General features: G+C 43.2%; 2 protein-coding genes and 1 long non-coding RNA gene across 7 annotated transcripts in view, besides 4 other annotated features; 2 read left to right on the top strand and 1 right to left on the bottom strand.

Moving 5' to 3' along the window:
• On the top strand, positions 1,630-22,246 carry MATN3 (matrilin 3). The gene is made up of 8 exons (NM_002381.5): positions 1,630-1,889; positions 7,988-8,554; positions 11,012-11,137; positions 12,218-12,343; positions 13,732-13,857; positions 17,039-17,164; positions 19,889-19,999; positions 21,132-22,246. The coding sequence occupies exons 1-8, from the start codon at positions 1,667-1,669 to the stop codon at positions 21,185-21,187; spliced, it is 1,461 nt and encodes a 486-aa protein (NP_002372.1). The 5' UTR covers positions 1,630-1,666; the 3' UTR covers positions 21,188-22,246.
• Positions 1,914-2,526: an enhancer, noted in NCBI's record as "H3K27ac-H3K4me1 hESC enhancer chr2:20211533-20212145 (GRCh37/hg19 assembly coordinates)". NCBI's record gives its function as "activates a minimal SCP1, AML or CMV promoter by ChIP-STARR-seq in naive H9 embryonic stem cells {active_cell/tissue: H9 hESC(naive)}" and the evidence as "EXISTENCE:reporter gene assay evidence [ECO:0000049][PMID:30033119]".
• Positions 9,492-24,094, bottom strand: WDR35-DT (WDR35 divergent transcript). The gene is made up of 3 exons (NR_110235.1): positions 23,804-24,094; positions 15,021-15,092; positions 9,492-10,278 (listed from the first exon to the last, which is right to left on the bottom strand). It is a non-coding gene; the product is annotated as a WDR35 divergent transcript (long non-coding RNA).
• Positions 23,893-24,396: an enhancer, noted in NCBI's record as "H3K27ac hESC enhancer chr2:20189663-20190166 (GRCh37/hg19 assembly coordinates)". NCBI's record gives its function as "activates a minimal SCP1, AML or CMV promoter by ChIP-STARR-seq in naive H9 embryonic stem cells {active_cell/tissue: H9 hESC(naive)}" and the evidence as "EXISTENCE:reporter gene assay evidence [ECO:0000049][PMID:30033119]".
• Positions 23,973-24,052: a silencer, noted in NCBI's record as "silent region_11197". NCBI's record gives its function as "represses an Ori minimal core promoter by ATAC-STARR-seq in GM12878 lymphoblastoid cells {active_cell/tissue: GM12878}" and the evidence as "EXISTENCE:reporter gene assay evidence [ECO:0000049][PMID:35858748]".
• WDR35 (WD repeat domain 35) overlaps positions 24,193-24,411 on the top strand; it is a 79,843-nt gene continuing 79,624 nt past the window's right edge. For all 5 annotated transcript variants that reach the window (XR_426989.4, XR_939699.4, NM_020779.4 and 2 more), the window contains exon 1: positions 24,193-24,306. Coding sequence is in view for 3 of the 5 variants with exons in the window: in NM_020779.4 (NP_065830.2) it covers positions 24,283-24,306 (24 nt within the window). In the remaining 2 variants the exon portion in view is untranslated. The remainder of the gene's footprint in view (positions 24,307-24,411) is intronic.
• Positions 24,213-24,262: an enhancer, noted in NCBI's record as "active region_15372". NCBI's record gives its function as "activates an Ori minimal core promoter by ATAC-STARR-seq in GM12878 lymphoblastoid cells {active_cell/tissue: GM12878}" and the evidence as "EXISTENCE:reporter gene assay evidence [ECO:0000049][PMID:35858748]".

Below are 24,411 nucleotides of genomic sequence, written 5' to 3'. Positions count from 1 at the left end.
GTATGTGTATATAAAATTTATTGGTTTTGTTTCTCTCAAGAACCCTGACTAATGTAGGGTTCAAAGGCTTTGGGGATCATTCTAAAAGCAAGACGAAAGACAAATGTCCACCAGAGCTTGCAAATACTGTATTTATCAATCCCTCCTCTTCTTGGCATAGTTTCTTTCAAACTTCTTAGTGTCCTCTTCCCATTATTACAAACTTCTCGTTTCTTCTAAGGTCCTTCTAAATTGGTGAGTTCTCAGTGGGAGTTGAGTGACCTTTTCCCTCAGTGTGACTATCACTGCCCAATGTCATTGATACATTATACAACTCCCCATCCCCACTTCCCCTCAGCTCCTGTTAACCACCATTCTTTCTGTCTCTATGAATTTGACTACTCTAGATTCCCCATGTAAATGGAATCATACAGTATTTGTCTTTTTGTGACTAGCTTATTTCACTTAACATAATACTCTCAAGGTTCATCCATTTTGTAGCATCTGCCAAAATTTCCTCCCTTTTAAGGCTGAACAGTATTCCATTGTACGTAGATACTGCATTTTGCTTTTCCATTCACACAAAGAGAGACACTTGGGTTGTTTCCGCCTCTTGGCTATTGTGTATAATGCTGCTACCAGCATGGGGTACAAATATGAGAAGTGAGGTTTAGGATCGTGTGAGGAGGATCACTTGTAGAGGGAAAATAGTGAAATAGGACGACCAGATAGGCTCTGTTGGAACTCGCGCCCATTGTTTTAAGACGCAGCTCAAATGTCACCTGGTTTTAGAAGTCTTCCTGGTCTCCGCAGGCAGTCAGTATCTCTTTCCTAAATCCACCACATTCCCGTAGACAGACACCACATTTATGCAAATCTCCTTCTCACAGACAGTGAGTTCCATGGGGGTCCCCTGGCAGCCTCCAGCCCTGTACCATGCTAACTCTTCCGGAGAGGAAATGGGGCCTCGGGAGAGCCTTTGAAGCCTGTGTTGGTACAGGCTGTCCTTCCAGCTAACGGGGCTCTCTGGGGAATGTATGTTTGACTTTCTATTCCCGGTAATATAAGTTCAAATGTTTGTGGATATTTGAAGCTCGGATGAAAGCGTTTCTATTCATGCCCCTAGAATCTGTGAGGCCTTTTCTTTCTTTTTTTTTTTTTAAACAAGAGCCCACAGCAAAACTTGGGTTACTTGGCTGAGGAAAGGAATGTAGAGCTAGGAGCAGGGTTTCATCTTCAGCCCCAGTCGGGCAAACCAGTGGCAGAAGGGAAAGCAGAGCCCAGGGGTCCCCATCCCGTACCTGGGGCGCAGGCCCCGCTGGGGTGGGAGGGAGAGTGGAGGGCCGGGCAGGCTGCAGCCGCGGATGGCTGCCCCCCCTGCCCCGGTGTTACTGGGAGGACGGAGGTTGCGACAGCAGCCGAGCCCACCCAGTTGCAGCCGGCTCGGGGCTTAGGGCAGGGGCGGGAGGTGACCACCGCGCCGCTGGCCGCCTCGCCCAGACATTCCGTTTCTGCCGCTGGAATGCGCGGACAAGGCTCCTTGTTGGCCTTGGGCGGGGTTCGCCGGGCCGGCCTGGCGCTCGAGGCCCCGGGGCGGGGCGGGGCCCGAGGCCGCGGGACCTTTAAATCCGAGCCTCGCGTGGGCTCCTGGCCCCCGACGGACACCACCAGGCCCACGGAGCCCACCATGCCGCGCCCGGCCCCCGCGCGCCGCCTCCCGGGACTCCTCCTGCTGCTCTGGCCGCTGCTGCTGCTGCCCTCCGCCGCCCCCGACCCCGTGGCCCGCCCGGGCTTCCGGAGGCTGGAGACCCGAGGTCCCGGGGGCAGCCCTGGACGCCGCCCCTCTCCTGCGGCTCCCGACGGCGCGCCCGCTTCCGGGACCAGCGAGCCTGGCCGCGCCCGCGGTGCAGGTACAGGCGGGCGGCGGGAGGGACGCGTGAGCATCGAACGAGGAGAAGCCCAGGGCATCCACCAAGCGCGCTTCATCCCGGCCTCAGGCCGACCGTGGTGCGGGGGAAAGAGGCCCCTCCCGGATGAATCCTGTGGGGGAAACTGAGGTCCAGAGAAGGGGAGGGAGATGCCCAATATCACTCATGTGTCCAGGCTAGAGATGTGGGTCTCCTGAAGCTCTCACTCCCCTGTGATTCGGCCAGGAGCACAGGGCAGCTGGGGAGCGCAGGGGCTGCTGCCCAGCGGCTGCTGCTAAGCTCCGTCCCAGTCCTGACCTCTCCATTCAGTGAGCAAACCCTTCCTGAGACTCTGCTGTTAGTTCTCTTGGAATCTCTCCATCTCCATCCAATATCAGGGCGTGATCTTTCCTCCCCTCCCACAGTCCTCAGGCTGCCTCAGACTGGAAGGTAAGGGATGCGGGTGTGAGACCAGGAGGAGATCCGAGGAGCCGTAGGATACCCCAGGATCAAGACACTCTGGGTCTTTGGCGAACAATTCTATTTCTCTTTTTGGTCAGCAATTGATTCCTGAAGCAGAGCAAAGCTCATAGTGCAGCGAAGCGGGCAGGTCGTCTGACACAGCCCCTGACAGCACATGAAGGGAAACTGAGGCATATCAAGTTGAAGGGACTCTGTGAATCAGTATCAGAGGCCACAATAAAATTCAGGGCTCCGAAATCCCAAGCAAGGTCTCTTTCCACTGCCCCAGCCTACCAACCTCTTAATATGGTTTACATAAGATTGTATCTTCATTTCCAAAAAGCGCAGCTTCAGTCTTGCTAAAAAGAGTCTGTGCCAGGCCATTTCTGGGTATGCAGTCTCATTTGGCCAGCCACGCTGCATGCCTCAGGCTGATTTCAATTGTCTATCCCCTTCTGCATCTTTCTGGATAAGCTGAGAAGGAGCTCAAGGGACTCTTTCCTGACTCAAATACTCAGTCCCCGTATTTGAAGTGGCAGATTTGAAATGGCAAAAGCATTGCTGCTAAGGCAGGAGGTACCGGGGTCCACAGGGCTAGATTCAGCTGGTGGCTGGTTGCTCCAGGCCGGGAATTGAGGGAAAGCCTTTCTTCTGGAAGTTAATCTTACTCTAGTCCTGACCTGCCTCCCTCTGGGATGGGACTGGAAGAGGAAGGAGAGATTCAGCACCAGGTGGCCATGTCCCCCTAAGCTTTACTGGTCTTTCATTACCTAGAGTCCGAACCTGATCATGAATGATAACCCATTAATAAATGCGAGATTCCACCCTGTTCCAAATTATCTCCTTTTAGCAACCAGAAATTGCTAAGCTTCGCTATGGATTTTTATTTCTAGCAGGACTGTAAGGACTCAGTGGTATTATGAGTATGGGAACATTTTAGGAGATTCAGATTCTTTCTTTGTTCTTGGGAATCAAATTGCTGCTATTTAGTAAATGGGAGTGAGATTCAAAAACAACTAATGATTGATGCGGAGTACCAGTCAGGAAGGAACCAGATGTTCACAGAATTTTCTGCCACCATGGTCAAGCCTCAGGTATTAGTTTTCTATGGCCACTGTAACAAATTACTGTGAATTTAGTGCCTTAAGACAACACACATTTATTACCTGAGAGTTCTGTGGGTCAGAAGTCTGACCCTGGTCTCACTGGGCTAAGATGAAGGTGTCGGCAGGGCTGTGTTCCTTTTGGGAGGCTCTAGGGGAGACTGCATTTCCCTTCCCTTTCCACCGCATGAAGGCTGCTGAGTTCCTTGGCTTATGGCCTTTTTCTTCCATTTTCAGAGCCAGCTAAAGCAGGTTGAGGCCTTCTCCCATTGAGTTACTCACATTTCTTTCATCTGCCTCCCTCTTCTACTTTATAATTACATTGACTCACTGAATAATCCAGGATAACCTCTTGTGTAGAGCTCTTTGACTTAATCACACCTGCAAAGTCTCTGCTCTTTGCCACGTAAAAGTAACATGTCTCTGGAATTAGGACGTGGACGTCTTTGGCGGGGGACATTATTCTGCATACCACACCCCGAATAGAGGATTCGGTGTGAATAACCAAGTGGAGAAGGAAAGAATCATGCACGTTTAGTTATAAGAACATAGCCATGATATTTATAAGGACACCATTTGGGTGCTGGTGAAAGCACTGTCAATTACAGAGTTCATATCTTCATGTTACCCCCACCTTTTCTTTTTCTAATTATACAAAAATACTTTGACCCATCTCCAGGAAAGATTTTCAACATAATTCTTCTTCCTAGCTCTAGATCTATGGGACTTTCCAGGAATGAAGTAAAATTCTGGAGGTTTTTTTTTTTTTTTTTTTTTTTAGTATTTGAAGAGATTTATTCTGAGACAAACATGAGTGACCATGGTCTGTGACACAGCCCTCAAGAGGTCCTGAGTACATGTGCTCAAGATGGTCAGGGTGCAGCTTGTTTTTATACAATTTAAGGAGGTATGAGACATCAATCAAATACATTTAAGAAATACATTGGTTTGGTCCTAAAAGGTGGGACAACTCAAAGCCGGTGGTGGTGAGGGGCTTCCAGGCTATAGGTAAGTTTAAATATTTTCTGGTTGATAATTGGTTGCATTTGCCTAAAGACCTGGGATCCATAGAAAGGAAATGTTCAGGTTAAGATAAAAGACTGTAAAGACCAATGTTCTTTTGAAGTCTTATAGTGGCTACCCTTAGAGACAATAGATGACAAATGTTTCCTATTCAGATCTTTTTAAAAAATTATTATTATTTTACTTTAAGTTCTGGGATACATGTGCAGAATGTGCAGGTTTGTTACATAGGGATACATGTGCGCTGGTGGTTTGCTGCACCCATCAACCCATCATCTAGGTTTTAAGCCCCACATAGATTAGGTATTTGTCCTAATGCTCTCCCTCCTCTTGCCCCCCACCCCCTGACAGGCGCTGGTGTGTGATGTTCCCCTCCCTATGTCCATGAGTTCTCATTGTTCAACTCCCACTTATGAGTGAGAACATGTGGTGTCTGGTTTTCTGTTCCTGTGTCAGTTTGCTGAGAATGACGGCTTCCAGCTTCATCCATGTCCCTGCAAAGGACATGGACTCATTCTTTTTTATGGCTGCTGGAGTTGTTTTTTTTTTTTTTAAAGAAAGAAAGAATTTTGATTCCTTTTTTTTTTTTTTGGCTTTTAGAGACTGGGTCTCATTCTATCATCCAGGCTGGAGTGCAGTGGTGTGATTGTGGCTCACTGCAGCCTTGACTCTCTAGCTTTAAGCGATCCTCCTGCCTCAGCCCCCTAAGCAGCTGGGACTACAGGTGCCTGCCACCATGCCTGGCTAATTTTTAAACTTTTTATAGAGATGAGGTCTCCCTATGTTGCCCAGGCTGGTCTAGAACTCCGGAGCTCAAGTGATCCTTCTCCCTCAGCCTCTCGAAGTGTTGGGATTACAGGCGTGAGCCACTGCGCCTGGGTTTAATTCCTTTTGACTTAACTAAATGCATGACATACAGCATATTTCAGGGCGGTGACTTAAAGTCAACAAGCAGGATGTTTACTGAATACATGAGAGAATGTTGATTTTTGTGGAGGAAAATGTTGCCTCAGAGAGAGGTAACTGGGATTCAGTAGCAAGCTCCCAGGGACTGGGAGTCAGGAAACCTGGAGTCCAATCCATGCTCTACCACTTTCTAGTTCTCACACCTCCTTGAACCTCAGGTTTCTCACCTGTAAAATGAATATAAAAACCACCTCTGCACCTCCAGCCTCACAGGTTGATGTGTTGGTACCTTGCGATTCCTAAAGTGTTACTGAAAGGAAGATTTTCTTTTTGTTAATTAAATACCTCCAAGCAGCAGGCTAAAAACAAGAAGATAATTTTCTGCTTTTAAAAGAAAACTAGACAGAGACATAAGGTAGGCTGTTCCAGGTAAGGCTTTAATTTTTTTCTATAAACTGCTTAGTCTAGGCATTAATTTTGAATCACCTTTTTTTCCTACTAAGTATTACCTTCCTAGAGTAGCATCAACTTCTGCCTCCTTATTAGGAAAGGAAAGAGCCTTGAGTGACACTTCATGCCCCAGGACCTCATTTCCATTTAGGGCTGCATGCGTGTGTTGGGTGAGAAGGGGGAATGACTTGAAAAAGAAGTTTAGGGCTGGGCACAGTGGCTCACACCTATAATCCCAGCACTCTGGGAGGCCAAGGTGGGAGGATCACCTGAGGTTGGGAGTTTGAGCCCAGCCTGGCCAACATAGTGAAACCCCGTCTCTATGAAAAATACAAAAATTAGCTGGGTGTGGTGGCGCACACCTGTAGTCCCAGCTACTCAGGAGGCTGAGGCAGGAGAACTGCTTGAACCCAGGAGGTGGTGGTTGCAGTGAGCCAAGATTGCACCACCGCACTCCAGCCTGGGTGACAGAATGAGACTCCGTCTCAAAAAAAAGAAAAAGAAGTTTAATAATTGGCTTTTTTTCTTGTCTCATCCTGACTTGTGGATTTGATTTTTGTATCGAGGAGAGAGGGTGTGCAAACAGGGGTTGGGGGAAACAGGAAAGAACAGGAAAGAATAGATGAACACTAAAATGTACTGTGATACTAAACTGTTAGGTACTTTTGTGTAGAAAAGAGATAAATTCTTTGAAGGTGGGAAATCTGGCTATCTGGTTTATATGCTTTTGTAGCTCCAGGGCTTCATACATGTAGGCCCTCAAAAAATGTTTTTGGTGAATGAATAAGTCAAAAGAGAGATGACCAAGAGAGTTAGTTGGGGCAGTAGGGTAGATACCAGATCACAATCCCTGCTTCTTACGAGACATGCTCATGAAGCTGGAAGCTCACTAAACAGATACAAGATTAAGTTGGCATCCCTCATTCTACTTTTTTTTTGAGATGATGTCTTGCTCTTATTGCCCAGGCTGGAGTGCAATGGCAGGATCTCAGCTCACTGCAACCTCCACCTCCCGGGTTTAAGCGATTCTCCTGCCTCAGCCTCCCGAGTAGCTGGGATTACAGGCACATGCCACTACGACCCGCTAATTTTTGTATTTTTAGTAGAGACAGGGTTTCACCAAGTTGGCCAGGCTGGTCTCAAACTCCTGACCTCAGGTGATCCTCCCGCCTCGGCCTCCCACAGTGTTGGGATTACCAGGCGTGAGCCACCGCGCCCGGGCCCCTCTTTCTACTTACTTTTTTTTTTGTTTTGTTTTTTGAGACGGAGTCTCGCTCTGTTGCCCAGGCTGGAGTGCAGTGGCGTAATCTCAGCTCACTGCAAGCTCTGTCTCCCAGGTTCACGCCATTCTCCTGCCTCAGTCTCCCGAGTAGCTGGGAATACAGGCACCCACTACCACGCCCGGCTAATTTTTTGTATTTTTAGTAGAGACGGGGTTTCACCGTGATGGTCTTGATCTCCTGACCTCTTGATTTGCCCGCCTTGGCCTCCCAAAGTGCTGGGATTACAGGCATGAGCCACCACGCCTGGCTCTACTTTAAATTAGTTCAGGGCTCCAGTGAGCCCCCAAATTCACTAAACAGGAAAGATGGCCAGATGGAGGGAGAATTCAGGGATACTCTGGAGCAGTTTTCAGCCCCTTGGAAGTGGAGTAAAAGAGGGGGGCCACCAGAAGAGCCCCTGAGTGCCTTGCCTCAGACTACCATTGCCTGAGGCTTGGGCACAGTGGTTGGCAGTGAGGCTGTCCCTGAGGGCCCAAGGCCTTTTACATGGTTCAGGGACACATTGTCCAATTGCTCCAGATAGCCAAGGTACTTAAGAAATGTGTAGAATCTATTAATTCCCAGGAATCATGAGGGCCCTTGGGAGCAAAAGCTTAAGCAGAGGGATGAGGTTCTAAGTGAAATTTCAGGATTCAGCCAGCCTGCAGGTGAGGTATTTGGGGAAACTTCACACCTCCAGGTGAATTCTCACTAGGGAATTCTGAAGTCCTTGGTGCTTTCAACACCCCGATGGTCTTGGGGAAGGTCGCAGGCAGTGGTGATGTTGGGGTCAGGAGATGCTGCCTTGCCTGGCCTCCTGGAATCCCAGAGTTCTCTGGAAGTGAGGATTACTGCATTTCTAATTGTGGTCTGATCATTGCTTGGTCTTTTGCAGGTGTTTGCAAGAGCAGACCCTTGGACCTGGTGTTTATCATTGATAGTTCTCGTAGCGTACGGCCCCTGGAATTCACCAAAGTGAAAACTTTTGTCTCCCGGATAATCGACACTCTGGACATTGGGCCAGCCGACACGCGGGTGGCAGTGGTGAACTATGCTAGCACTGTGAAGATCGAGTTCCAACTCCAGGCCTACACAGATAAGCAGTCCCTGAAGCAGGCCGTGGGTCGAATCACACCCTTGTCAACAGGCACCATGTCAGGCCTAGCCATCCAGACAGCAATGGACGAAGCCTTCACAGTGGAGGCAGGGGCTCGAGAGCCCTCTTCTAACATCCCTAAGGTGGCCATCATTGTTACAGATGGGAGGCCCCAGGACCAGGTGAATGAGGTGGCGGCTCGGGCCCAAGCATCTGGTATTGAGCTCTATGCTGTGGGCGTGGACCGGGCAGACATGGCGTCCCTCAAGATGATGGCCAGTGAGCCCCTAGAGGAGCATGTTTTCTACGTGGAGACCTATGGGGTCATTGAGAAACTTTCCTCTAGATTCCAGGAAACCTTCTGTGGTAAGTTGGTCAGTCTTTGCTTCCAACTAGAAAGGATGTTATATTCAGACATTGTGTACCCAGAGAAAAGAGTATTATTCTTTTTTGGTGGAAATTTAATGAAAAACTTAAATATATCCAATGCGTGTGTGTGTGTGCACGTGTGCATGCGCGCGTGTGTGCGACCAACCTAAACACACTCTATTGGTTTAGGAATATAGAGCTGCATTATATGGAACTTGGTTTGCTCATAAAATCTTCATGTTTGCGTTAGAACTGTGAAGGTCTGCAAATATCCAGGATAAATGACCCTGCTGTTCCCTGTCAGGGTCAGGAAAAACAAAACTCAAGATGCCTCTCCTGTCCCCTCTGCCCCACCACTACATTTTTTTCCCCTGATACATATTTTTTTAGTTTTACCATCTCTAGATCTAACAGAACTCTGTTTGTTCTCCTGCAGAAGACAGGGAGAAGCGTCTGTCCTTGGGAGAGTCAGCAGGCCTCTATTCCAATGTCACCGTCAGCCCGAGTGTGCATTTAGTGAATGCTCTGGTTTTCAGACTGGGCTGTTTATCTGATTACTCTTTGTTGAAGAACAGGATTCAGGGACCAGGCAGATTAGGGTTTCAGCTCACTTGAAAGAAAGCAAGATGATCTTAAGAAATCATTCTGTTAACTCTGCTACTCCTTCCATCCTTTAGGATGGAATTTGAATAAGGACATGCTAATTTTATTGGAATTTTTAGCATGAATTGACCAAATCTAGGACTACAGATCCATTCAATGCTGGAGTTTAATTTTAGTCACTGATCAGAATTATGATCTGTGGGACTCATGCTTTATTTTTTTATCATCTGGAGATAATCTTTTGTTCCCTCTATGTGAATATCCAAGCAGTTGTGGACAAATTTCTAGTTCAGGTGAATTTTTAAACATAGATATCTTTTTGCAATATAATTTATTTCACACTTATTTATTCAGCATGCATTTATTGATCTCTGATGATACAAAGATAAAGGTAATCCCTCCATACCATTAAGTAACATTCTGGGGGTGGGGGTGAGACAAACAAATGAACCAATAATTAATTACAATTATACATTTCAAGGAGACTTTTAATCTAGGTTAATGTGAAACGCAGCCATCAATGGTTTGTCAGGAAAAGGGAGATGAAGTCTTGCTCTGGGGCAACGTTTGGCCTCATTGCAGTCAGACTTGGCTGGGATCCCCTTGTCTTTCCTGTCCCAGGACACTGGGCTTTCACAAGCCATCACTGGCTTTGGTGGCATCTACTTGGCATTCGTTGGCTTCCAAAAAGAAAGTGGCTTTCTTTCTCCCAGGAAATCACCCTCCCACTCCATGCTTGTGGGTGAGAGCCTCTCCATCAACATGCTGGTCTGTGGCAAAGTTGGGTTTCAAAGCTAGCACCTGGGGTTGGGCTTCGAAGGCTATAAAGTAACAAGTGGTGAGTGGCAATCTTTTCCTTCTGGTACAAAAGACCTGCTTGTTCTGGGGGAAAAACGTCCTCTCTATGGAAAAAAGACTGAGCGGCAGCTTGTTGTAGTCAACGGGTTGGAAAGATCATTCCATGAAAAGGCCCTTCTTGGGAAAATATTAGCCTTGTCCTGTTGCCAAGGGCAGTGGAGGTTGGGTTACCTGCCACAGGAGGGCCAGCCTCCTTCAACAGGCCTCCTTGGTTTCTCAGAAATGACTTAATTCATTGATTCATCTTTCAAAAGAGGTCACTAGGAAAAAAATATCCAATGAGATATAAATGGCTCCAGGAGCAATAAGATGGAGATGTAGTTTAGCTAATGTAATCTCATTTATTTTGTTCTTTTCTTTTTACCTGTTTGTATTAGCATATGAGTTCACTATGGATTTAGCGTATGGATGACTTCACCCACCTTACATATTCAGAAGACAGTTACCCGAACTGTCCTCTACCATTTGCATGTTCAAATATGTACCACTGCCCACCTGTGAGTTCGTTCTAGGCTTAGACCCAGACTTGTGTGAGAATTCTGTTTAGACATAGGCTATAGAACCTTGGAAATCAGATTCTGGCTACAATGGGACAACTAGCTCACGTCACTTCAGGCTGTGCATTTATTGTTCTCCCATTTCTTGTGGTGGGGAAGCACAAATCTTTTTTTCATGGGGAGGCGGATAAGCCAAATAAAACATCCAATTGCCTGGCCTATGTAAGTGTTTGGCTTCAGCTCCAAACTCCAAATTCCCTTTCTCCCTTGAGAAAGTCTATATAGCAAGATGTGTACTTTTAAATTAGCAACAATTTCTAGTTTAAGAGTAGCATTGCTAATAAGCCAGAGGCAGAAAACAAATAACCATTTTTTTATAGTGAAGTAAAGATGGACTCGGAAAGGAGCCCAGAGAGCAATGTCTATTGACATGGGAGACGGTATCTGAGATGTTTCCTAAGTGTCAGTGCTGACTGTTGTAAACTTCCTCTCACAGCGCTGGACCCCTGTGTGCTTGGAACACACCAGTGCCAGCACGTCTGCATCAGTGATGGGGAAGGCAAGCACCACTGTGAGTGTAGCCAAGGATACACCTTGAATGCCGACAAGAAAACGTGTTCAGGTGAGGCCTGTGTAGGGGGCCGTGACTGAATCAAATACTTGGGAACCTATGCTCCAGGTTTTGGACTGGCCTTGTGCTTTGACTCTCTGACCCCTTTTTACCTAACTGCCTTTTGGCTGGTTTACTGGTGTTCATCAGCAGTTTTCCCTGAAAAGGAGCTTAGGGAGAAAAGTGAAATGATAGATAAATCAGCTTATTTCCATACTTTGTAAGTTTTAAATAAAATCGTAGGAGAAAAGGCTACTAAGAAAGAGGTCCAGGCTGAGTGCAGTAGCTCATGCCTATAATTCCCACATTTTGGGAGGCTGAGATGGTAGGATAGTTTGAGGCTAATTCGAGATTAGCCTCGAGAACATGGTGAGACCCCATCTCTACAAAAAATAATTTAAAAAAAAAAGCCAGGTGTGGTGGTGCATGCCTGTAGTCCCAGTTACTTGGGAGGCCGAGATGGGAGGATTGTTTGAGACCAGGAGGTCGAGGCTGCAGTGAGCTATGATAATGCCTCTGCTGCACTGCCACAGAGGGAGACCTTCTTTCAGAAAACAGAACCCACACACACAAAAAGGAAAAGAAACGGGTCCAAGATTCTTAGCCCTTTTGAGGATTTGAAAATTTTCCTGGATTTTATTTCATTACATGCAAGCTACCCTCTTCCTCTCTAGTCATAGATGCTCATGGAATCTAGAAGTAGCAAAGAAGTTAGAGGGGTACTCACTGGTCTGGTACATAGATACATACATGGAGTCAATGAGGAATGGGAATTATATATTTTTTTGTTTTGTTTTTAATCCTAGAAAAAAGTTTTTGGGAGGAAGAAAGCTTAGAGATAACTTAATTTTATAGATAATGAAATTGAGATGGACAGAAGGGAAAAAACTTACCTATGTCACAGGGTCTCTTAGTGAAAGAGCCAAGACCGGAGGGTTGGTTCCCAACTCCCAGCTGCCCCTCCCTTGTTTCATTAGCTCTGTGTGTGTGTGTGTGTGTGTGTGTGTGTGTATAACTGTAAGTGGCGTGGCCCACAATTATTTCTGCCATGCTCTGCATGCATTTACATTTGTCCCAATCATCTTTTGATAGCTCTTGATAGGTGTGCTCTTAACACCCACGGATGTGAGCACATCTGTGTGAATGACAGAAGTGGCTCTTATCATTGTGAGTGCTATGAAGGTTATACCTTGAATGAAGACAGGAAAACTTGTTCAGGTAAGTGAGGGAGGAGTCTTTACTATTGCTACTTAGCTCTCTGCCTACCTACCCGGTGATGGAAGGGCAGGTCACATTGACTGGGAAGTTGGTGTGTTTTCCTCTCTTGCCACCTTGAGCTTTTCCCATTTTTAAGTCTTATCCAAAATGTTAGAAATGGTAACATGTATGTATCTCGGCCCAAATACATAAATATGTTGCTCATTTCCTTCTCTGTAGCCAGCCTGAACAATCCTTCCCAAATGCTACAGACAATTCAGTAGGTTGAAATCACATAACAACCCACAAGTTACCTGTTGCTTACAAAGGGAAAGACAGTAACTTTATAGTGGAGAAACTGGCAGACATCACCTTAACTAAGTGATCAAAGTTAACATCATCAGTGATGACACATAGTGACATCATGTATGACCTGACATGCTGTGCTCAATACTGTGGACACAACAGCACACCTGTAGTATTCTTGCTAAAAATTCAGGATTATGAGGAAAGATTAGAAAAACCTGAGAGACACTCTCAGTTCACAAAATAGTTTTCCAGTACTTCTCAGAAACGTGAAAGTCATAAAAGACAAAGAAAGACTTAGGAAGTGTCCCAGGTTGGAGAGGACGGAGATGTGAAACTGAATGCAATGTGGAATCCTGGATTGGATCCTGGACCAGAAAAAGGACATTAATGGCAACATTTGAATAAAGTCTGTAGATTAGTAAATCATATTATATCAATGTTAATTTCTGGTTTGATAATCATACTATGGTTATGTAAATTACTGTTTGGGGAAACAGGGTGAAGTACAGGAATTTTTTGCACTGTTTTTGCAACCTTTTCATAAATCTGAAATTATCTCAGATGAAAAGTTTAAAAGTAAAAAATAGTTTAAAAATATATCAGTAGAGAGGAAAGTGCATTGAATGAAAATGTGTGTCTTGAGTTTTTATGCTGCTCTGAATCAAATGGTCTCCCTCGCGCTCCTTTCCCTCATTTAAAAAATAGGAGAGGGTTGAACTACAATTTCTTCAAACTCTAATTCTATGTTTTTCTGAATCTAATGTAATTAGCCACACAACTGTTGGTATCCCGCTGAGTTGGGATAAGTACAATAAGCCTAAAAGGAATGCTAGAAAGTATTTATGAGATACTTAGGTTATAAAAACTCAATACTGATGATTTCCAAAAGCAATTGTGGAAGGTCAGAGAATAATTATTGTATGTGCAGGATTTCACTTAACTCAGTTAACTTCTAGTTAGAAAAAAACAGTGCCAATGGCTTTGAATAGTTTCCAGTAAGTTTTCCTCATATGTTTCCAGCTGCAAATAAGGTTTCTATCCTGGGTAATAAAATACTTTTCCACCTTCTATTTCTTTTCTCCTGACTTTTTGTTTCACAGCTCAAGATAAATGTGCTTTGGGTACCCATGGGTGTCAGCACATTTGTGTGAATGACAGAACAGGGTCCCATCATTGTGAATGCTATGAGGGCTACACTCTGAATGCAGATAAAAAAACATGTTCAGGTAAGATCCACTCAAAAAATTCTTTCATACTTGGGTCTTTCACATGAAACCAACTTGCAACTCACCAGCAAAGAGGTTTTTAAAGGTAACTTAAGATCAAGGTTCAGACATTCTATCACACTTTTAGATGAAGGCACACATTGCTCAGAGGGTGGTGAGCTCACTGGAGCAAACATAGATTACTTCAGAAAATTACTGGGAAATAGGTAGGGAGTGGGGGATATGAGAAAAACTAACTAAATGTAGGGTCCTTATCCAGGAAAATTTTATAGCTCTGTACACTGAAGACTTTTAAGCAAAGAGAAAACTTTAGTGGAAGTCAGTTGGACAGTAACTATTTGGTGTGATAGGATGAACTGATCTTTTTCCAGTTAAAACTTGGCCTGGAACTTTTCTGTAGTGTTAATCTTAAAGCTGGATGATTTTAGTAAAGAAGACTTTGTGAATGCCTGAATTAGACCCACACAGATCTTCCAGTAAGTTTGAGGCCAGTCACTCCCTGGCAGTTTCTAGACGATCAATCATTGGTGAAACTCAGCCTTATACGTTGGCCAATGAGCCCAGGCCAGTGCTGTTAATCCTCATTAATTTGATTTAAACTTACTGGCAGGACAGGGTGGCATTTATAAATGTAAAAACACTCCTGAGAGAAATTCCAAGCTCTCAAGGTGCCGTTTAGCTTTGGCATATTGAATGTGTTTTAGATTTGACATATATTTTCCTCTCCCTTGAGGACATACAGACTTCATCAAGATAGACAAAGGGAAATGGCATGTCACCCAGTCCCCTCTTTTTTTTTTTTTTTTTTTTTTTTAAAGGGAAACCAGTAAAAAAATACCGGACACCTACTTTGTTCCCAGTATGGAACTAAGCATTGGGAGCATACAAAGAAGCCTAAGTTTCTGCCTCTGAGCAAGTTAAATCTGGGTGAACAGAGAGCCGGCTCCTTATGAAAGCAGAGACTGAGCCAGGGAGAGGGACTGATGGAAACAAAGGGCTGTAGAGGCTGGGGAGGTGGGCATCTGCGAAGGGCTGGTGGTGGGCCTTGAAGGAGGGTGAAGGTTTCAATGGAGACAAGTGGAAAGTGGCACTGGCGGGGGACTGGCTTGAGCTGATTTGTTCAGGGCAGGATGACTAAGAAAGTTGGGGTGGAGAGAACTCACCTATGGCTGCACTTCTCAAACTAGTGACAAGTGTCCCAGTTGGTACTTTAAGCTGCCAGGAACATTGAAGACCTGGGAAAACAAACCAAAAACAAATTTCCATTTAAACTAACAGATAGTATGGAATAAAGTGAAGCAATCTATTTTAAAAAAAAACATAAATCAAAGAAAATTTTCAGTTAAGGCAGACAACACTCCCAGATGCCAGTATTCCATATTCTTCAATACCTACTGTAGGCCATGCAGGATTCTAGGCATTTTAGATACAGTAATGTACCTTAATACTCACAGCAACGTTAGGAGGAAACTGATTCAGTAACTTGCCCATGGTTACTCTGCTAGCAAGTAGCAGACCCAGGGTTTGAACCCAGGTACTTCCTCTAGTGGTTACATAGGCTCTTAACCACTAAGCCTTACTGTCTTAATGTACAAAGCACAGGACAGTGAAGAGGGACAGAAGAGAAAGAATACTAGTGGGAAAGTTAGTTATATATATATATATTTTTTTTTCTTCTCTTTTTTGAGACAGGGTCTCATTCTGTCACCCAGGCTGGAGTGCGGTGGTGTGATCTTGGCTCATACAGCCTCTACCTCCCGGGCTCAAGTGATTCTCCCATCTCAGCCTCCTGAGTAGCTAGGACTACAGGCACATGCCACCACACCTGGCTAATTTTTGTATTTTTTTGTAGAGATGGGGTTTTGACATTTTGTCCAAGCTTGTCTTGAACTCCTAAGCTCAAGCAATACACCTGCCTTGGCTTCCCAAAGTGCTGGGATTACAGGTGTGAGCCACTGTGCCTGGCCTATTTATATATTTTAAAGTAATAGTGAATACTGCTATAAAGCTGGGGAACATACCATGGATCAGATCCCTTCTAATGGTCTGCTTTTCCGTTGCTAGTGGTAGGAAGGCTTGTAAATTAAATGTGGAGCCCCAAATAAGGGCCAGGGGCTGGAAGCATGTCCATTTGCCACCTGTAGAGTGGGTACTAACCTGGAATGAGGGGGAAAAAAATGAAACACCCTGCTATAAGGCATTTTGCTGAAAAAAAAATCTAAATTGTAGCACTGAAAGGGAATAGCCATATTAAGGTTGGAAAGGCACTTTATGTATAGATTATATAGCGTCTCACATTTCACAAGAAGCTATTCTATAGGCATTAGTGAGCCACAAAAGGTTCTGCCCATGAAATGACATTTAAGAGGAAAATTAGAGGGAAATAAACTATTTTGGTTCCTGCAATGGCAGAGGAGGAACCTATGTCTTCCAGGAAGGCTTTCTGGATTTCAAAGGAGAATTACTGTTTTATTTGTCCTAGGCCAGTCTGAACATGGGATGAGTATGGCACTTTGCTCTCCTCTCCACTCAAATTTGGGCAAACTGCATTTGTCCCTGAAATGTTATTTGTGATAGATAGTAAGTACTTCACTCTCTAATCATACACATCATCATTACTAACCCTGTATCATTTCCCCATCTGTGCTTGTGTGTGTGTGTGTGTGTGTGCATGTGTCTCCTGGTCAGTCTTTTCTGTTACACTTTGTAAGCTATGAAGGCAGGCACTTGGTCAATATAGTGCTTTTTGTGCAGCATCAAACTTAGCTCCATGTATGATTAGGTCCCTAAAACATTACTTTTGGTGATGATGATGATGATCCATGAGTAGCTGGGGATGCTAGAAGCATTGATAGTCATCGGGAAAGGCTGGAGGTAAGTTCTGGAATATAGTCAAGACTCAGTGCTGCCCAGTGCTGTGGGTAGAAAAAAAGGAAAGGTACCCTTAGATATCTGTGAGAGATATAAAGGAAAGGAGTGTGTGTGATGTGAGGCCAAAGGGATGAGAGGTATGGGAAGAGAAAACAGGCTTGCTCCTGCAGCATGGGGCCTGTTGCTGACTACTGACTACTACATTCTCAGCACTTGTGGGGACCAAATGGAAGCTTCTCCTCTCAAACATTTGTGTTTACTTTTCTATTTAATGTGTGAATATTTTCTTTCCTGCACCACGTGCGGTCAGTCCGTGACAAGTGTGCCCTAGGCTCTCATGGTTGCCAGCACATTTGTGTGAGTGATGGGGCCGCATCCTACCACTGTGATTGCTATCCTGGCTACACCTTAAATGAGGACAAGAAAACATGTTCAGGTGAGGATCAGCCCTTTAAGGCTATTTCCTTTGGTAGGAAAATTTTTCAGGAGCAAGCTTTTTTCTTTCTGTCTAAGACACAGTTGTGATTCTTTCTCCCTGTCAGAATTCTCCAGTGGCTCCCACTGGTCTACAGAATAAAACAATGATACCCCTATACCAGGCAGCCTACCCTCCATGATCTGTTTCTGTCTTCTCTGTTTTTCACATTTTTCTTAATAACTAAACTTTCTGCCTAAGTCTGAATTTTTTTTATTGTGGTAAAATACACATACAATTTACCATTTCAATTATTTTCAAGTGTATAGTTCAGTGGCATTAAGTACATTTACATTGTTGGGCAACCACCACCAGTATCCATCTCCAGAAATTTTTTATCATCCCAAAATAAAAGTCTGTGCCGATGAAACAATAACTGCCCATCACCCGCTCCCCTCAGCCCATGGTAACTACTTCTCTCATCCTGGCTTTTAAAACTTTTCTACTACATTTGCCCCCAGATTCACTGCTTCTTCCTGCATCCTGGTCCAGCCACAGTGGGCTCTTTGATGGTCCAGGAGCATGCCCTGCACTCACTCATTCCCACCCTCCCCTCAATGCTTTTGCTTGTCAGAATTTGCTTGCCAACATTTGGTTTTGTTGAATTAAATTTTTGCCAATCCAGTGGATGTTTTTTTCATTTCCTGGTTACTAATGAGGTGAGGCATCTTTTCCTGGAGAGTACTGCCATTTTAACAGTCTTTCATTGCATTAACATGGTATGTCTTTAATTTAATTTAATTTTATTTTATTTTAGGTCTTCTTTAATTTCTTTCAAAATTGTTTTGTAGTTTTCAGTGTACAAGTCTTGTACTTTTAAAAATATTTATTCCTAACTATTTTATTCCTTCTGGTGCTATTATAAGCACCATTTCTCCATTTCTCAACTTTCAATTTTGCTACAACCCAGGTTTGAGAAATGGAGTTTGAGATCCATTTCTCAACTTTCAATTTTTCTACAATCCAGGTTTACAATTTTCTATGAAGTGTTGTAATTAAGACTATCCCACTGAACCCATGCCCTGCTAGAGCTTAGAGACTATCAGGCACGACAGACACTGAACAAGTATTATATATACCCATCTTATGGGTACAGGGATAATGGACATGTAGTTGATCTTCAATAGATACTTCCTGGTTTATTGACTGATTAACTAAGATGGGATTTGGACTGGCTGTCCCTAAAAGGTTCAATAGGATTCAGACAGGTGGATAGATGATAGATTATATTTAATGAATTTATGATCTCCCATCCCTATATTGGATCTTTGTAAAATGTTAAGAGTAAAAATGTTGCAGCAAAGGACCATTTCCTGTCCTCAGGCAATAGAATTACTCCATTGGAAGATGATACACCAGTCTTCAGACCTGGGAAGTTACTCTTATTTCTATTCACAACTTTAGGAGGAGCCCTGATACTGAATAGGAATAGCTGCCTGACTGAATTCCATAAAGAAATAGGAGTTACTTTTATCACCTCTCATATTTGGTTAAATGTCAATACAAACGTGAATTTTCAGTTCCAAAGTATTTATTGGTAAGAACTAGGACTCTTACTTCAAACCATTAAATAGAATAACAGTCCTCTAGAGGAAATCAGGACTTAACCTGGTTTTTATCCTTTTTTTTTGTTTTGTTTTTTGAGACGACATTTCAATCTGTCACCCAGGCTGGAGTGCAGTGGTGCGATCTCAGCTCACTGCAACCTCTGCCTCCCGGGTTCAAGCAATCCTCCTGCCTCAGTCTCCCGAGTAGCTGGGATTACAGGCATGGGCCACCACGCCCAGCTAATTTTTGTGTCTTTATTAGAGACGGGGTTTCACTATGTTGTCCAGGCTGGTCTTGAACTCCTGACTTCAAGCGTTCCACCCACCTTGGCCTCCCAAAGTCCTGGGATTACAGGTGTGAGCCACTGCGCCTGGCCCTAGTTTTCATCTTTGGTATATTTTAGCCATACAAATAGAGGACTATTGTCCTAGTTTTATTTTTATTTATTTATTTTTAAGAGACAGGGTCTTACTCTGTTACCCAGGCTGGAGTGCAGTGGTGTGATCATGGCTCACTGCAGCCTTGAACTCCTGGGCTCAAGTGATCCTCCTGCCTCAGCCTCTCGAGTAGCTAGGATTACAGGTGTGTGCCACTATGCCTGGCTAACTATTTTACTTTTTTGTAGAGACAGGGCCTTGCTTCGTTGCCCAGGGTGGTCTTGAACTCCTGGCCTCAAGTGATCCTTCTGCCTCAGCCTCCAAAAGTGCTGGCATTATAGGAATAAGGCACTGCACCAGGCCCATTTTCCTTTCTTAATTACACAGTATTACATAAACATTGTCTTATTTCTATATCCCTGGCCTCCCCCTATACCAACCATGTTTTTCTAAATTTACTTTATATCATGAATAATTTCTGGCAATCACAAAAGTACAGAGAATAAAATAAGGAACCCTCACTTAAGCATCACTCAGCTTTGACAATTATAAACATTTTCCCCAATGTATCCTAAGATGAATTTTTCTGTGATAAGTATTTTCTCGTCTTTTTGTTTGTTCATCTATCCCTTTACCTCTTGGAAAATGCACTTAGGTAAGTCTTAACGGTGGAAATATTCAACTGTGGATTTCCTGATTTGTTATGATTCCTATATAGCTATTCCTAGATAGTATATTTGTGTACTGTCATTGTCTTCAGCCACTGAGGAAGCACGAAGACTTGTTTCCACTGAAGATGCTTGTGGATGTGAAGCTACACTGGCATTCCAGGACAAGGTCAGCTCGTATCTTCAAAGACTGAACACTAAACATATCCTTTCTGGAAGGTTTTCTCCTTCTGCCTGGAGCCAACCAAGGTACTACGATCGAGCCAAACACTTTAAGACATTCCACAGGCAAGTGACTTATTTGTTAGGTTTTAATATGAGCAGTGGTAATATACAACTTTAAAAAATTTAGAGTTCTTTTCTAATGGTTTAATAGACTGTTTCACCCATTCAATATTTACATGTAAAAGCTGCCTATTTTGTCCCCTAGTGCTTTTCCATAACTGTATATGCTCCTAATGATGCTCTTACATAACAGATGGAACATTTATGCTAATGACTCCTTAATATGGCTTTCTTAGTTCAGAATCTGAACATGTACAAAGCAAGTCAGCTGATTAATGGGGTGTGATATCTCAGATTACACACAGTTGTACCCTTTGACTAGCCAAGTGGTCAAAAAGCAGATTTTAAAATGTAACATGATACAATCTCAGAAACTTTCAAAATCAGTTCTTTCTTCAAAGGAGTAACTAGGGAAAAGTTTCTCAGAACAGTTCAAGTTAACAACTCTGTTCCTATGTACCCCAGAGGAGTGGAATTTAGATTGTGGTAGGTACAATCTAGGCGTATGTAGAGACTTTTAAGGGAGGTACAGATAATTGGAAAGAATCAATTTCCAAATCCTTCACTTGCTTAAGACACTACTTGGAATCAGCTGGCATTTTCTTTTCCCGTCTCTCATTTCCATATCACCATTCTCCTAACTTCACACAAGAAAGGCATACTTCTCATTTACCCTAGATCTACTAAGGTGCATTTGTTAGAACAGCAGAATCTTGAGATAGCCAAACAAAGGGACAATCCAACTATCCCTTTAATCAATACTTCATAAACACTGCTTCCCCCATCCCTCACACTAAGATGCTACTCCAATTACATTTTATATGAACAAAAACATCTGAAGACCACTGCAGGGGTCTACTTTTATTGTGCTCTCTGAAGAACAGGATTTTTGACTTTTAGACTGAATTCAACTTTTGGTGAGAAAACAGTTTTGCTCTTTTTTTTCACTTCTCATAGGACATAATTATTTTATCTTGTGAAGTGTTTGAAAGTGTGTTTATATTTTCTAATGTGTAAAAATAAATGGTGTTGGCCTTAACAACTTGCCACTTGATGACATTTTGGAGAAGTTGAAAATAAATGAATATGGACAAATACATCGTTAAATTGCTCCAATTTCTCACCTGAAAATGTGGACAGCTTGGTGTACTTAATACTCATGCATTCTTTTGCACACCTGTTATTGCCAATGTTCCTGCTAATAATTTGCCATTATCTGTATTAATGCTTGAATATTACTGGATAAATTGTATGAAGATCTTCTGCAGAATCAGCATGATTCTTCCAAGGAAATACATATGCAGATACTTATTAAGAGCAAACTTTAGTGTCTCTAAGTTATGACTGTGAAATGATTGGTAGGAAATAGAATGAAAAGTTTAGTGTTTCTTTATCTACTAATTGAGCCATTTAATTTTTAAATGTTTATATTAGATAACCATATTCACAATGGAAACTTTAGGTCTAGTTTCTTTTGATAGTATTTATAATATAAATCAATCTTATTACTGAGAGTGCAAATTGTACAAGGTATTTACACATACAACTTCATATAACTGAGATGAATGTAATTTTGAACTGTTTAACACTTTTTGTTTTTTGCTTATTTTGTTGGAGTATTATTGAAGATGTGATCAATAGATTGTAATACACATATCTAAAAATAGTTAACACAGATCAAGTGAACATTACATTGCCATTTTTAATTCATTCTGGTCTTTGAAAGAAATGTACTACTAAAGAGCACTAGTTGTGAATTTAGGGTGTTAAACTTTTTACCAAGTACAAAAATCCCAAATTCACTTTATTATTTTGCTTCAGGATCCAAGTGACAAAGTTATATATTTATAAAATTGCTATAAATCGACAAAATCTAATGTTGTCTTTTTAATGTTAGTGATCCACCTGCCTCAGCCTCCCAAAGTGCTGGGATTACAGGCTTGAAAGTCTAACTTTTTTTTACTTATATATTTGATACATATAATTCTTTTGGCTTTGAAACTTGCAACTTTGAGAACAAAACAGTCCTTTAAATTTTGCACTGCTCAATTCTGTTTTTCGTTTGCATTGTCTTTAATATAATAAAAGTTATTACCTTTACATATTATCATGTCTATTTTTGATGACTCATCAATTTTGTCTATTAAAGATATTTCTTTAAATTATACTGAATTAACAGTTATTTTGATATTCAACAGTTTCTTATCAAAAGACAGAAGTTTGATTCTCCTCCTATAGTTTAATCTCACACTCCTGAGGCTAAAAGTGTAAGTTCAGGTTCAAAAGAAAGGCTTCAATATAAAATTATCTAAATTTGGATAAAATAATGATGAGCTTTACATTAATATAAGCTCCTGAGAAGCAAATATATCCTACAGATGTAAATATAAAATATAAACTTTAAGGAAGGAACAAAAACTAAATATACCAAGGAAATATATAAAGCATCTCTTACTTTTCAAAAATTTTGAAAGGGTATGACATAGAGCTACAGTAGTATTTTCCAGACTTTTTTGAGCCCAAAATCAGTAATACATATTAATATACCACAGAGAAATGGTGGTATAGAAGGAATAAATGAGAGTTCATGTGCAAGAAGGGAAAGATAAAGAGAGGTGAGTTTTCAGGTGTCACCATCAGTAACTAGCTTCAACTAATTATGTCTTGACCAGTTTATTGGAAACTCCTGGGTTAGATAATACTAATTTGTCTCATGCGTCCAGTATAGGGAGCCTATGGACAGGGGCCAATGTATCTTAAACAGACACACAAACAATGGAAAGCAAACATTATCTGAATGGGATTGGGTTAAGTTTGGAAAGAATTCCTCATGGAGACTGATTTGTGCTGGTTTGGCTAGGCACAACTGGCCTGTTAAGAGGGTAGGACCATATATAAAGTGGCTTGGGAAGCAGAGCCGGATGGAATGTTGCCCTGCAGAAAGCATATTGGCTTACTTGAGGTGGGGGCTCCCTAGTAAAAACATTTAGGATTGAGGGAAGATCTGATTTTGGATGGAGTTTAGATTTGCTAGGAAAGGCACTAGGGACTATTGTCAATTCTATAATAGATTGTGCTGGGTGAGACAAATCACCCAGGTCAAAGGATTGGAGGATTTTTATTTTATTTTTGTCTGAGATGGGAAAAGACTCCAAGTGGGGAAATTAACTACTGATGCATAAATTACATGCTAGATTATGGTAAAAGGGAAAACCAGAAATAAAAACATAGGTGAGACCAAATAATTTCATGAGTGGTTCTACTTGGATTTCTGCCCTATGCCTTAGACTTTGAGGCTTTGTAACTCTCAAGCATTCCAAAAGGACAAAGGAGAATGAAGAAAGAAGGTAAGAAAAAGAAGAGAATATGTAACAGTCGACTCTAGACGAGAAAACACCAAACGCTCAAATATTTGTAAAATGGGAGGCCATGCCCCAATAGCAATTGTACGCTGTAATTACCCAACGTTTACAGAAATTCCTTTAAAAGGACCCTCGGGGTTGCGGTAATAATTAAACTGTTAAAAAATATCAAAACAAGCGGAATAAACAAAATCTTCTATTCCTAAATTGCTCTAGAGGTTCTCCAATCCCCAAAGACACAGAGAAGGGTTGTAAGATCTCAGTACGCACATTTGCACTTTCATCTGGCCAGTGGCGCCAGCCTATCAAATACAGTAAATGGCTTTTCCCTTTCAAGAATGTTGGAACTTTGGAACTTACAAAATACTAAATAATTTGCCCTTATTCGAACGGGCGCCTCTCCTCTTAGGTTTATAGTAATGCCACCTGAGGCGCGGCTCCATAGCGATCATCACAGGTGTGGCGGGAGGGAGGGCGGCAGTGACCACGAGACGGGGCGCAGAGGGCGAGCGCACGGCTGGCAGTGACAGGTCGCGACCCAGCTCCTTGCGGAGAGCAGAAAGGCCCAGACGCCAGGGAACAGGACTAGCCCAGCTACCGCCTCGCGCCTCGCGCCCTGCGCCCACAAACCCATCGACGTCCGCGCAGGCGCACTACGCCGGTGCCCGGTGCGAGGGCGTCACCGGAAGTGTCCCGCGGCGCCCCGGATGCGACCGGGCAACAGCGGTTGCCAGGGCGACGGGAGCTTTCCGGAGCTGCTGGTACTCCCGATTGGAGACGTAGAACCGTTACTTGTCGAGGGCCTTAGCGGCCGCCGTGACCCTCTCGGGGATCCCACGATGTTCTTCTACCTGAGCAAGAAAGTGAGTTTCCTGGGGGGCGTCCTCGTTTCTCCGCCATTCCCGCAGCCTGCGGCGATTCCCGCTGCCTTCCCGAGAAGCCAGGCTCCTTCACCCGGTCCTGGTCGT

The sequence above is a fragment of the Homo sapiens genome, chromosome 2 (genome assembly GCF_000001405.40).
Source record: "Homo sapiens chromosome 2, GRCh38.p14 Primary Assembly".
NCBI classification, from domain to species: Eukaryota; Metazoa; Chordata; class Mammalia; order Primates; family Hominidae; genus Homo; species Homo sapiens.
The sequence above is the reverse complement of the archived record's forward strand: the minus strand, read 5'-3'. Positions and strand labels throughout refer to the sequence as shown.

What these genes read in the sequence shown, in the direction of transcription:
- MATN3 (NM_002381.5), top strand. Translation starts at nt 1,667, where the DNA reads ATGCCGCGCCCGGCCCCCGCGCGCCGCCTCCCGGGACTCCTCCTGCTG. An exon ending in ATTCCAGGAAACCTTCTGTG is followed by an intron (nt 8,555 to 11,011) that starts GTAAGTTGGTCA and finishes TTCCTCTCACAG; the next exon opens with CGCTGGACCCCTGTGTGCTT. An exon ending in GGACAAGAAAACATGTTCAG is followed by an intron (nt 17,165 to 19,888) that starts GTGAGGATCAGC and finishes CATTGTCTTCAG; the next exon opens with CCACTGAGGAAGCACGAAGA.